The 12142-nt window shown below is 54.6% G+C and overlaps 1 protein-coding gene across 1 annotated transcript in view, besides 1 other annotated feature; it reads left to right on the top strand.

The window, feature by feature from the left end:
- The window catches only part of TNS1 (tensin 1), a 234192-nt gene that overhangs the window by 3972 nt on the left and 218078 nt on the right, over positions 1-12142 (top strand). The window lies entirely within an intron of this gene.
- Positions 3738-4653: an enhancer, noted in NCBI's record as "H3K27ac-H3K4me1 hESC enhancer chr2:218890081-218890996 (GRCh37/hg19 assembly coordinates)". NCBI's record gives its function as "activates a minimal SCP1, AML or CMV promoter by ChIP-STARR-seq in primed H9 embryonic stem cells {active_cell/tissue: H9 hESC(primed)}" and the evidence as "EXISTENCE:reporter gene assay evidence [ECO:0000049][PMID:30033119]".

The following is a 12142-nucleotide window of genomic DNA, read 5'->3' as shown; positions in this document are numbered from 1 at the left end:
GGACATGGAGATGGCTTGGATGTGGACGAGGAGCAGGAGGAAGTTGAAAATAACCCCTCTCATCTCACAGAGAGGGTGGCTGTGAAGGCATTTGTCTGTATTAGTGTGTTGAAATATTTCCTAAACACAGAAAAGTGTACAAACTTCCCACTGACTGAACACACGCACGTACTCACATACTTGGCATGCAGAGTCTAGAAACAGAACAGTGACAGCTCTCAGAATGTGCCTCCTGCCCCTTCCAGTCACTAATCCCCCTTGGAGGGCAGTGCGCAATCCCGACTTCTAACCACAGGGAGTTACTTGTTCTAGAATGTCTAATAAATGAATGGCACTTGTAATCAGTGGAGCACATCATATGTATTCTTTTGTGCTCAATATCATGGTTGTGAACTTTATCTATATTCCTGGGTGTGGTCTTGAGCGTTCCTTCTCATTGCTGGACAGCGTCCCACTGTGTGAAGACACGCTGTCCATTTATCCATTCTGCTATTGACAGGCGTTCGAGTCATTTCTAGTTTTGGGCTACTGTGAGTAGCACTGCTAAGAACACTTTCATGCATGTGTTTTGAAGATCATGAAGCCAGATTTCTGTTTGGTATATGTGTCCCTCCATTTTGATGATGTCTCTGGAAGACCCACGTGTCTCGGAATCAAAGGAATCATTCAATGAAGGGAGAACTTCAGCACCTTGATGGGGGTGAGGGATGCCTTGGGGATGGGAGAAGATTCTCTAGCATCCTCTTATGTCCCTTTGTAATGATTCTTCTCAATTCACTTGCCCCCCGGCCTTGTGCCTCAGGAGGGAAAGGAGAAAGAAGCTCTGGAGTCCTGCATTGGAGTGGGGTGGGTGGGGGTCCACCGATCACCTCTCTAAGTCTTACTCACTCTCTGGGGGCAGGCCTGAGTCCCTAGCAGGGGCAGGAGGGCGTGAGGCTGAAGATAGGGCTGCACCCTCTATTTGTTTGCTATTTCCGGAAGGGAAAGAAGCCAGCCACTGCCTCCTCGTTTGATGTATGAACTTGCCCAGGGCTCCTGGCACTGGGACAGAGCCTGGTGCCAAGGGCAGGCAAGCTAAGGCAGACCCCAGAGGGGCCGCAGCCTGTGAGTGGGAAGTATAGGCTGCCATCTTCAGAGAGGCCAAGTAGTGGGGAGGAAAGGGGACCCAGGCTATGCTTAGGGGCCAGGTCCCCTTGCTGACTGTCCCAGCTCTGATTTTTAAATTCACCTCCACCCCCAAGACCCCAGCCTGGTGCTTTTGGCCAGCCCTTCTGCCTCCCAGCCTGAGTAGCTGTAAAGCCCAGAGCAGGAAGCTGCAAATCTACCCCAAGGATAGGGGATGGAAGACCCCAAGCTCTAGGGTCCTTTTCTGGCCTGAGATATGAGAGTGCTGGGTGCTTCTGCTGCTGTCTGTTTAAAGTGTGCCTCCCCAGTAAGCCCATGAGCCAGGGTTTTCAGGCCAGTGCCAAGCTTTAGTGAACCTGGTATCCCAGGCACTTAGCAAAGAACCTGTGACATCTGGATACTCAATAAAGGTTGCCCAAGGGATGGCTGGATGAATGGTGAGAGGTGGACAGGTAGAGACCCCACAGACAGGAGAGAGAATGCAGATAGGGCAAGTGCAAGAGGATGGTGGTGATAGGCCCGGGTGGCCTGCTGTACGGGGTGGAGCTGTTCTGTCTGGGAAATAGAGGTCTCCCCTGGGCCCATCTGGGCCTGAGCTTCTCTGGGCACCCAGCAGGAGGGTGCAGGTGTGGGAATGGGGGGTGGAGTAAGGCCAGTGGGGGCCAGCTCATGCATGGCTGGAAGTCAGATAAGAATGTGTGCAGGGTCAGGTGAAGTCAACTGACAGAAGGACTTTTTGAGGTTTGAAGAGCATGAGAAAAGACTTTAGAGCCTGGTGACCAGCTGGGGCTGGCAGAGGTGGCAGTCACCAGGATGCTGGAAAGCGGTGTCCTCCAGGCCAGCTTGTCTGGGCCTTCCTACCAGCATCCTTTCCCAGGAACTTCTGAGCGTTGCCACCAAATCCTACTTTACCCACCTCTTCCTGCCATGGCTGAAATTGAGAGGGGTCCAGTGTGGCCTGGAGAGTATCCTGATTCCTTAGAGTCCTCTGGCCCAGCCTGCAGTCTGCAGGGCCTCTGGCCTGGAGCCTCTGGGTGGATGCTGGCTATGCACTGGGGAAGCCTCTGAATCCTCACCTGTCTGCTCACCTTTCAGCCCCTCTGCCTTTCTGCTCATCTCTTCCTCCACTCATCTGCCACCTTCTCTTTCCCTATCCACCCTCCACTCCCACCGTCCCCTCACCTCTGCCAAGCCCCATGCATACACATGACATCTCTACCCCAACCTCTTCTGGGAAGTCAGTGCGGGAGGCAGAGGGTCCAACACATCACCCTGAGACAATGTGCCGAGGGCTGTCACCTGTTTCTAGAGCAGGGACTGACCTGTTCTGCTTGGGACAGTCTGGAAAGCCCTCCCAGAGGAGGCGACACTTTGAACAAGTTCTTAAAAGTTTCAGCAGGAGTTCACCTTCCCAGAGGGAGGGGCAAGGCCATTTCAGTCAGGTGCAGAGGTGCTAGAAGCATGTGGCCCCTTCAGGGAGTGGAGTGGTTAAGTGTGGGTGCAGAGTAGGGTCGGGGGAGAGGCAGGATCAGAAGCTGGGAACGAGGTGAGTCTACATGCAAAGGGCCTTGAATGCCAAGCTGAAGAGTTTGGGCTTTACACTTATCGTGTAGGCCGTGGAGTCCCTGAAAGGCCCCCCAGAGAGGGACCGATGATTTAAACTATCCCTGGCTCAGGGTGGAAGACGACAGGGGGGTGTAGGGTGACTGGAGCAGCTGGTGGGTGTCCTCACATGGCTGGGCCAAACAAGAATGAGCGTGTGTGTGTGTGTGTTTGTGGGGTGGGGTGCGGTACAGGTATTGTGTTTGCCGTAAAGTCTCTCCTCCCTTCGTGGGCCCCCAGAAGCCGGCTGCCCTTCCTCCTCCCTGACTTCCCCTCCACCAAGCCCTCAACACCCCAGCCAGTAGCCCCAAGAACTTGAGCCCACCAGGCCAGTATCTGAGCCAAGAGCTCACCTCGTGTGGCTGGCCCTCCGCCATGTCCTCTTGGCTCAGTTTCACCTGCTGCCAACCCAGACGTCATTCCCATGGGGGATGGGCAAGGGACAGGCCTGGCTTTCTTGGGACCTTAGACCCAGGCCAGGCATGTCTGCCCTGCCCTTGAGGGTTTGGAGGGGAAGGAGAGGAGGGAAGAGTGGGACTGGAGTCTCCTGATCTGGGTGCTGCAAAGGGCACCTGTGGCGCAGCCTCCTGACATACGCGGTGGGTGGGAAAAGGGCTGGAGGGAGGTAGGGATACGGAGTGTTTGGTCAAGGATGGCCAGAAGTGGTTGGGTGGGAAAGTGCCCTACAGCCACCTTTTCCTTTCTCTACTGCTTCCTTGGGCCCAATATTCCAACCTGGCCTGCCCTGGGGAGGTAGAGGAGCTTTCACTTGCAGGGTCAGGATTCTCGGGCCCAGAGCAGGCTCCTGGTCTCCTCTGGTCTCCTGTCTGCCTCCTTTCTCTCCTTCTGTCACTCTCGTGTTCCATCTGTGTCTTCTTGTGAGTCTGTCTCGTCCACTCCTCGGGAGCCTCAAGTCACTTTTCTACCCTCTTTCTTCCCCCAAAAGGCAGGCGGTAGGGATGGCTGGCATCTGTGTTATAGTGTAAGGGAGTAGGTGTACAAGCGGCCTTCGAGCTTACACTGAGTTCCACTTGGGCTTGGCTACTTAAAGGCTGTGTGTTGATGAAGATCTTATGTAACCTCTCTGTGCCTTGGTTTCCTCCACTGTCCTAAAAGCATTTAGTATAGTGTGGGACATATTGACAGCTCTTAATCAAGATGTTATTCCTGGTGGTGTCATTATCTAAGGGATTTAGTTTAACTCCTCTGAGAAACAAGATGGGACTGAATGGAGGATTTTACTAGGGGAAATGCCTGATTTTGAAATGAAAGGGCTAGGGGAGGCTGGGAGAGCCTCACACCGCAATGTAACCTGACCCCAAGGGAAGGAGAGAGGAAAAGAGGCCTGGAGGATGCGTCCTAGCCTCATTGCACTCCGAGAGGAGTTCGGCAAAGCCAACAGGGAACCATGGAGGTGGAGTTGATCTAGAAAGACCGTCCCTAGTGCCAGTGGGGTGATCACACCTGTATTCCCAGCCACCCGGCAGGCTGAGACAGGAGGCTCACTTGAGCCCAGGAGTTTGAGGCTGCAGTGAGCTATGATTGCACCATTGCATTCCAATCTGGGGGATCTCTAAATAACAGAAATTAAAAAAAAAAAGAAAGAAATCCCCTGTCTCCCAGGCAGGGATCTGCCTTAGTATCACCACTGCACTCTGCCAATGGCAGGGACAAGCCTGTGGGGGGGTCTGGCCTCAGCAAACACAGCAATGGATTTTAAAGTATGTAGCCAGGCCAGGAGATTACAGGCTCATACCTGTAATACCAGCACTTTGGGAGGCCGAGGTGGGCAGATCACCTGAGGGCAGGAGTTCGAGACCAGCCTGGCCAGGATGGTAAAACCCAGTCTCTACTAAAAACACAAAAAGTTAGCTGGGCATGGTGGTGCACGCCTGTCATACCAACAACTCGGGAGGCTGAGGCAGGAGACTGTCTTGAAACTGGGAGGCAGAGGTTGCAGTGAGATGAGATCATGCCACTGCACTCCACCCTGGGTGACAGAGCAAGACTCTGTCTCAAAAAATAAAATAAAATAAATAAAGTATGCAGCTGGGGCCCTCGTCATTTCTGCTTCCTGCAGCAGAAGGTCTGCGAGGTGCATTCTTGTAGCTGCTGCAGGGCTTTGAGGCATGAAGAGGTCCAGGGCCTTTGGTCCAGGGAGTCAGAGGTAGCATGGGAGGGGTGGGTAGGGGTGACCCAAGCACCTAGAAGGAGGCAGCAAGCTGGGCCCCAGGCTATCATGCTCCCTCCAGGCCTAGGCCTGCTCAGCCTGGCTGCCTGCCCTCCTGCCATTAGGCTGGCTCTTGGCTGTTGAGTTAATATCCCTTTCCTCAGTTGTTTTAGTTGACATGGTGCTGCTTGGACTAGGGGGCTGATCCCATCTGGCCTCTGACACCCTCTCTGTTCCCCTCCCCGTTTCTCCTTTCTGCTTAGGATGCCTCTGTGCTAAGGGGAAACTGAGGCATGGGTACAGAGGGTTCTGGATAGGGGCATTCAGGAATAGGCATTGTACCCTTCACCTCTTCCCCTGGACACAGCCTTCTACACCAAAGCTCATGCTACGGGAGGATGGGCAGCTTCACCCTCCCCCTGACAATAACCTTGGGTGTCCTCTGGGGCTGGCCTGGGCTGGCTGATGTGTGGGGCAGGGGTGCTCAGAGCCATTGCCAAGCTGCAGTACCATTAGGGGAATGAAGCTGGAGCAGGAGAGACTATTTCTGGGCACTGAGCTGAGGCCATCTGTGGGAGGTCAGAGCAGTCCAGACTGTCCCCTGCCTCCACTGCCCCCATCAGCTCCCCACCTCTGCAGCAGCCGGCAGACTGCATTGAGATGTGTGAGGCACCCAGACAGCCTCTTCAACCCCAGCCACTCAATATCCTAAGCAGGGCTAATTTATTCCCTTGCCTCTTACTGGGATTGCAGCAAAGCAAGCAGGGACATGAGTGTGTTGGAGGTAGTATTCCGTGGGGGGATGGGGGGGTGGGTGGTTTCTTTGTGGTTCTCTTGCATCCTTCCCAAGACCCCTTTGATCCTGAAGTGACTCCACACTATGTCCCCAAGGCTTCAACTCAGAGGGGAAACAGTAGCAGAGGGAATGGGGACTCGGAGTCCTTTCTTACCACCTCTTAGTGGGGTGCCCTGGGCAAACTGCTTAGTGACTCCGATCTTCAGCTTCATCACCTGTAGAATGGGCAGACTAGAGCCCACCTCAGCTGCTGTGGCAAAGTGTCAGCTTCGGAGTATAGAGCATATGCCAAGCTCTGGGACACAGTGGGCAGGCAGTGTGGTTGGTACCTGCCTGCACTCTGTCCTCATGGGCATCTCCTTGCCCTCTTTTGTCACTCTCTGAAGTCTGCTGACTTCTGAGGTCAGCTGGGGAAGGGTGTAGGGGGAGGGGGCTGTTTCAGAAGCTTCTCTCTGGGATTCTGGCATTGGGAGTAAGGGTGGGGACAGATGAGCTCAGAGCCTCACGGCAACAAAACAAGGAGGGCTGGTGGGGGAAAAGCATGGACCTGACCAGGGCAGGCTGGTCTGGCAGCAAGTCTGGGCTCTGCCACCGACTGATACTGTGAGCCTCCGTTTCCTCATCTGGAAAATGGGAATGATAACACCTACCTCACAGGGTTAGTGAGATCATTAAGGTGGGTAAGGTATGTAAAGTTCCCAGCATGAAGTAGGTGCTCAAGAAACATCAGTTTCTTTCTCTTTCTGGAAGGGGCCTTTGAGGTCATCTAGTTGACCTCTTCACTTGCTGACTTGGCCAGGAGACAGGTGGGCCGGGAATGGAGGAGAGCCCTGGGCTTGGGGGTCTCTGACTTGGCAGGCAGGCCAGAAGGCAGTTAGCAATCATGATAATGAATGCCTTTAAATTAAAGAGTCTTACATGATGCTCACAGCAGCCCTGAAGGGGGACCTGAGCCGGCATAATTACCCTGTTTCACAGAGGGGGAAGTTGAGGCCCAGGAAGGTGGCTTACCCACAGTCTCTCCATTATTGGTGCAGAGTTGGATGACAGCCTGGTCTCGGGGTTCCCAGCCCTCTGCACTTGGTCTCTCCAGTGTCTCCTCGCCTTTTCTGCTGAGAAGCACAGGCCCCTCAGCCTAGACCCTTTAGTGGGGAGGGCTTCCTCTTGTTCTCAATGGTCCCTTGGTAGCAAGAGGTCATTGACTTACTTGACTAATTTACTGCCCCTGTCCTGGGACCTCCTCCCCAGATTGGCCTTTGAGCCTGAAGGCACCTGGCCCTTCTTCCAGCCAGACGTGAGGCCACGTGAGGGGAGTGTCTGTGGCAGTCACCTTCTTTGAGGTTGGGGTGGGGTTGGGCCTGTTGCCCCCTGGCTCAGGGTGGGCGAGGAAGCCCAGCTCCCTCTCCCTCAGTAGCATCCTTCAGGTTGGCTCTTCTGACTGCCCCCTCACCAGGAGGTGACTTCTGGCCCAGCTTTCTCCCCACCCCTGACAGATGGAGTCCCATCCCCCATCTCTGCCACCCCTAACCCCCCACCCTTGCCTGCTGCCCCTTCCCCCTAAGCCCTTTAGCTGCCTCTGGGCTGTGAGAATGGCCTCCATGTTGCTTCCCAGAGCCACTGACTGGGTATTTCTCGCTCTGGGGGCTCCCCTCTGCCCCTCCCCCCATTTATCTCCCCCTCTGTGAGCCAGAGGCCCTTTGTGAAGCTCTTTGTGTGGATTTGTGCTCCCAAGGCCAGGCAGGGGGACAAAGGGACACCCCTGTCCCCTCTTCATTGTCCCCTCTTCCCAGGAGGCCGTGTGTGCCTGTGTGTGTGTATGTGTGTACGTGCGTGTGTGCGTGTCCACGTCCCAGCTTGACATCTTTTATATGTAACTTGTAGGGCAGAGAGGGGTCTTGAAAGGATTCAGGGATGCAGCGTGGTCTTGGGCCTCCCAGACCAAGGCTGAGTGGCCTTAGTGGGAGAAAGGAGGCTGCGGCTTTTGAGAGGAGGCCGTCAGGCCTGGGCATGGTGGGGTAGGGGCCAGGACATTGACTCTCCTGCCCAGGAGTAGGGGCTGTCACCATCGTTACCTCCACCTCTCTCTGAGTCTCCCTGTCACTCTGCCTCCCTGCCTACTCCTCTGTCTCTTTCTCTCCTCTCCCTCTCCTGCCCCCTCTCCTCCTCCAGCTCACTCTCCCTGTGCCTATTCCTCTTTCTCACCAGGCCACCTGCCTTCCTGGGTGTTGAGAAGAGGCCAGGTCTGTTCCTCCTCGCCCCCCGATGCCAGTGCCAGGGAAGCCCCTTCACCCTCTGCCCTCCCGGTATTTCAGCCTTCCCCAGATTTCTCCCACCTCAACCCCCTCTGCCCTTCCCCCGCTCTGAGGTCTTCTGGAGGTACTCCTCAGCCTCAGCCACGGTGCCCCTTCACCCTGGCCAGCCTGCTGATCCACAGTCTAGAATAGCACTGGGTGGCTGGCTGCCTGCTGGGTCCTGGCTAAAAATAGACCACGCTTGGTGTGCTTTCAGGGCAGTCTGGGGCAGAGACAGGGTCTAGCCTTCCAGGTCCCTCCTGGTCTCCTTGGGGGACATGTCTGCTGGGGCCCTGAGGCCTTCCCCCTACCCTGCTGCAATTGGAAGCCTGGATGGAGGGCCTGGCCCCAGCGACTCCTGGGAGGAAACTTCTGGCACTGGTGGGCAACACGTGGGCAGAGAGAGGAACGTGGGGTGCCGGGATCCACCCTGGAGTCCTAGCTGGTATGTGATAAGGGCAGAACTCGAACCCCAGTGCAGACCACGAGACTGGATGCACAGACCCTCCAGATGCCAGGCAGCAGTTGCGTTGTAGATTGAGTGATGAGCCTGCTCTACTCGCTCTAGGCTATGGGCATCAACTTTCCTACCTGGAAGGTGGGGGCTTTCTGCCTCTTGGGGGTGCTATTAGGCAATCTCTGCTGGGTCCATGGGTGACAGAGTTCAGAGGGACTTTCTGCAGACTCTTCAGTTCAGCAGTCCCCATCCCTTTTCATTCCCTGCCCCAGCCCCTCTGTTTCTTCCTTCCAGGCCTGTGGCCTGCCCTTCCCAAGCCTGGGCCTCCGTTTCCCCTCTGGTCTCTAGATTTTGGACTCATTCTCCATCAGGAGGTCCTGAGCCCCAAGGGCTGTGCAGAGCTCTCAGAGGAGGGCCTGGCCTCCTGCCAGTGTGGTGAGGAGTCGGGGGCAAGGGGCTGGGGTCAGCGGCTGCCTGGCACAGGCTTATTCAGTGCTCTGCCAGGGACTTGGGCTTTAACAGTTCCAAGGCCTTTTTTGTTCTCAGAATGTTCTTTCTATCTAATAGCCTCCTGTTCTTGTTTCGTGGATGCATTGTCTTCTCTCATCTCGCTGAGGACGTAAATGGTTGCTTATCTTGCAGCTTCTTCCTGCATTGCACTTGCTTCGTCCGAATTGCCTTTGCTCTCCTCCCTTACCCTGCAAGCTCCCTTAGTAAAGGGATAGTCAAGGGGGGATTGGTTGCTCTGGGGTATCTGGCTGAGTGCTTCACTGGGGGAACTCCTGTCTGTATCTTTGGGTTCCTGCTCTTGGGCCTCCACTTTTCTGCCTGGGGCAGGTCACGGTCAGGTAGCAAACACTCACTTTTTGCTAGCCCCCAGGCCTTTAACTCAGAACCCCCAGGGTCAGGGATGACAGCTGGACACAGAAGTTCTTCTTCCATATTCTACCAACCTTCCTGTTTTAGGATCATGTTTACCCTATCCCCAAAAGCATCTGAGCCACCAATCCTCAGCCTTTGGGGGCTCTCTGCTGTCAGCGAACCTGGCTGCTTCTCGGTGGTTCCCCAGGCAGCTCAGGGGTCAGCGTTCTCAGGCTTATGATTCCTATTTGCCTGTCACTCCCCGGCTCCCAGAATTTTGACACTGTTGTCAGAGGTGATAATCAAGTTATTTAACCAGTGATCCTAGGGACGGGACTGCAAGGCTGGAGGGGTCCTTAGGTCCCCTGCTGAGCCAGGAGTTGGCCCTTTCCTTGCTGAATTGAAGAGAGGCCTGCAGATCCAGGGGAGGGGCTGGCGTATTGGGCCTGTGGGGTGCTGTGGCTGTTCACCCACTGGCACAGAAATATTTTAGCACCCCCACAGCCGCCATGGCTGGGTCCTGCACAATGCTGAACATCTGCTCGCTCTCATTGCTCTTTCCGCTCCTTTTTTTCCCTCTGGGATTTATGCTTCAATAATAGAAAAAAGGAACCCCTTATTGTTGTTTTAGTGGGGGCTTAAGACAGAGCGAGAGTCAACATGTGTGTTCAATCGACCCACTGCACCCGGAGGATCCACTTCACATTTCTGGGCTTGGCTCTCTTACCTGCAAAAAAGAGTAGGGCAGTGGGGAGGCTGCAGCCGGGGAGTGGGGGAGCGGGCAGGGGGATAGCTACTCTGGACTCTCTTCTTCCTGGTCTTAGGTGTGATCTTGGGGCCATTGACAGGATAGTGAGGTTTGAAGCCAGCAGGAGGGTGGGAGGGCAGGTATCAGGAGGCACTTCTCAATCAGCCAGGGTGTGAAGTCAGAGAACAGGACACACTGGGGAGGCACTGGAGTTAGATCCTGACCTGACCTCAGGATTGTAACTGATTTCCCCTTTATGGACTCCCTTCTTCCTTTCATCAACAGAAATCTCTCCCCAGGGCCTCCCTGCTCTGAGGCGAAAGGGCAAGCCCCTTGCAGAAGGAGGAAGTTTAGGGTGGGCAGGGCAAAGGCATGAGGAGGCCTAAGGGCCTAGAAAGAGACCCAAGGGTGGAAAGAGGCCCCGTGAGTCCTCCTCCTTGGTGCCCAAGCCTGGAGGGAAAGAGGGGTTTTTTCCAGGGAGATGGGGTGGTCATGGAGGAGGATTAGGGGTAGTTCCTACCTGCAGGGCAGCCCCCAAAGTGTCACCTCATTATAGTCAAGGTGACATAGACTAAGAATTATCTGGCAAGCTACCTCATTTGCATGTCCTTTTGCATCCAGTTTGCATGTCAGCACCGTCATTTGGTGTCCACGAATGGTCAGAAAGTTCCTTTAGCATGAACTTTTCTCTTTCTGGGAGATCCAGCTCTTCCCTTTTCCATTCTTCTCTCTCCCAGTCCCTCACTCCCCGTCTATAGGGTCCCAGCCTTCACCCTTATCTTCCAGGGGACCCTCCTTGTCCCTCGGGAGACATGTGCTTTATGTGTGTCTGTGTACATTGTATATAATTCCTTTATTTTTTTTTTGTTTTTTCTTTTTTTTGGGCGATGGAATCTTGCTCTGTTGCCCAGGCTGTAGTGCAGTGGTGTGATCTCGGCTCACTGCAACCTCCACTTCCCAGGGTCAAGCAATTCTCCTACCTCAGCTTCCCGAGTAGTTGGGACTACAGGCACATGCCACCACACCTGTCTAATTTTTGTATTTTTAGTAGAGATGGAGTTTCACCATGCGGGCAAGGCTGGTCTCAAATTCCTGACCTGGTGATCTGCCTGCCTTGGCCTCCCAAAGTGCTGGGATTACAGGCATGAGCCACCGCGCCCAGCCTAATTCATCGATTTCCAGGCCAATGTTTGCTTTCTTCCTTTGGCTTCACAAAGAAAATGTGTCTGTCCCCTTTCTATCCAAGTCCCAGACTCCTTCCTGTTCCCCAGTTGCTTCCCAGCTCCCGCCTCACATCCTCAGCCTGTGCACCTCAGTCTGCCCCTCAGAGACAGAAAACTTAAGGAAGGGGACAATCTGAGTGGCCCAGGTGAGGCCTGATTGGGGAAAGGGCTCTGAGGCATGGGAGCAGATGTCTGCGTGAGAAGCGGCCTCGTTCCCCATGGGGTCTAAGATGGCCCTGGAAATAGGTTTTGGTTTCTGGAAGAGAATTCATACGGTGAGTTCCAGGCTAAGTGAGATTGGAGATTTGGGGACAGGGCCAGCAGGGCCAGCCTGTTTTCTTGCTAAGTTGAGCCAGGGCTTTTGATACTGAGATTTTATGCTGTGTCATGGGACAGTGAAGACTCAGACCTCATTTGGAGTTTAGAAGAAGAGCATGGGGAACAGTATGGGAATAATAGGGTGAAAAGAGAGGCCTCTCTGGCCGTGTGGTGCCTCATTGGAAGTTCTGCCTGATGTCTGACTTGAGTATTTTTTGCTTTAGTCCTAGCCTGTTTCCTGGTGTTTGTCTTGAGTTGGGCTGCGGGGGCTCAGGAAATTGTTGCTGTGCTTCCTCCTTTCTCTTCTTGGACTGAGAGGCATTGTACCCTCCAATTCCTCTCTTTTCTTGGGTTCCAGCCTCTTCATATGCCTCCATTCTACCTCTCCTCTAGCCTGCTAACTGGATCTCCTAACAAAGCTGTTTTGGCCTCAACCTTCTGGGACTCCTGGCTCCTCTCCCTCAGGCGTTCATTCCCTGGACAGTGGTGTGAACTGTGTGTTCCAGACAGTGTGCTCTGGCTGAGGGCTCTGGCGGGGAGCGTCTGTCTAG

This window comes from Homo sapiens, chromosome 2 (assembly GCF_000001405.40).
Source record: "Homo sapiens chromosome 2, GRCh38.p14 Primary Assembly".
Classification (NCBI taxonomy): Eukaryota; Metazoa; Chordata; class Mammalia; order Primates; family Hominidae; genus Homo; species Homo sapiens.
Note: the sequence above shows the minus strand (reverse complement) of the source record. Positions and strands in the feature narration are given on the sequence as shown.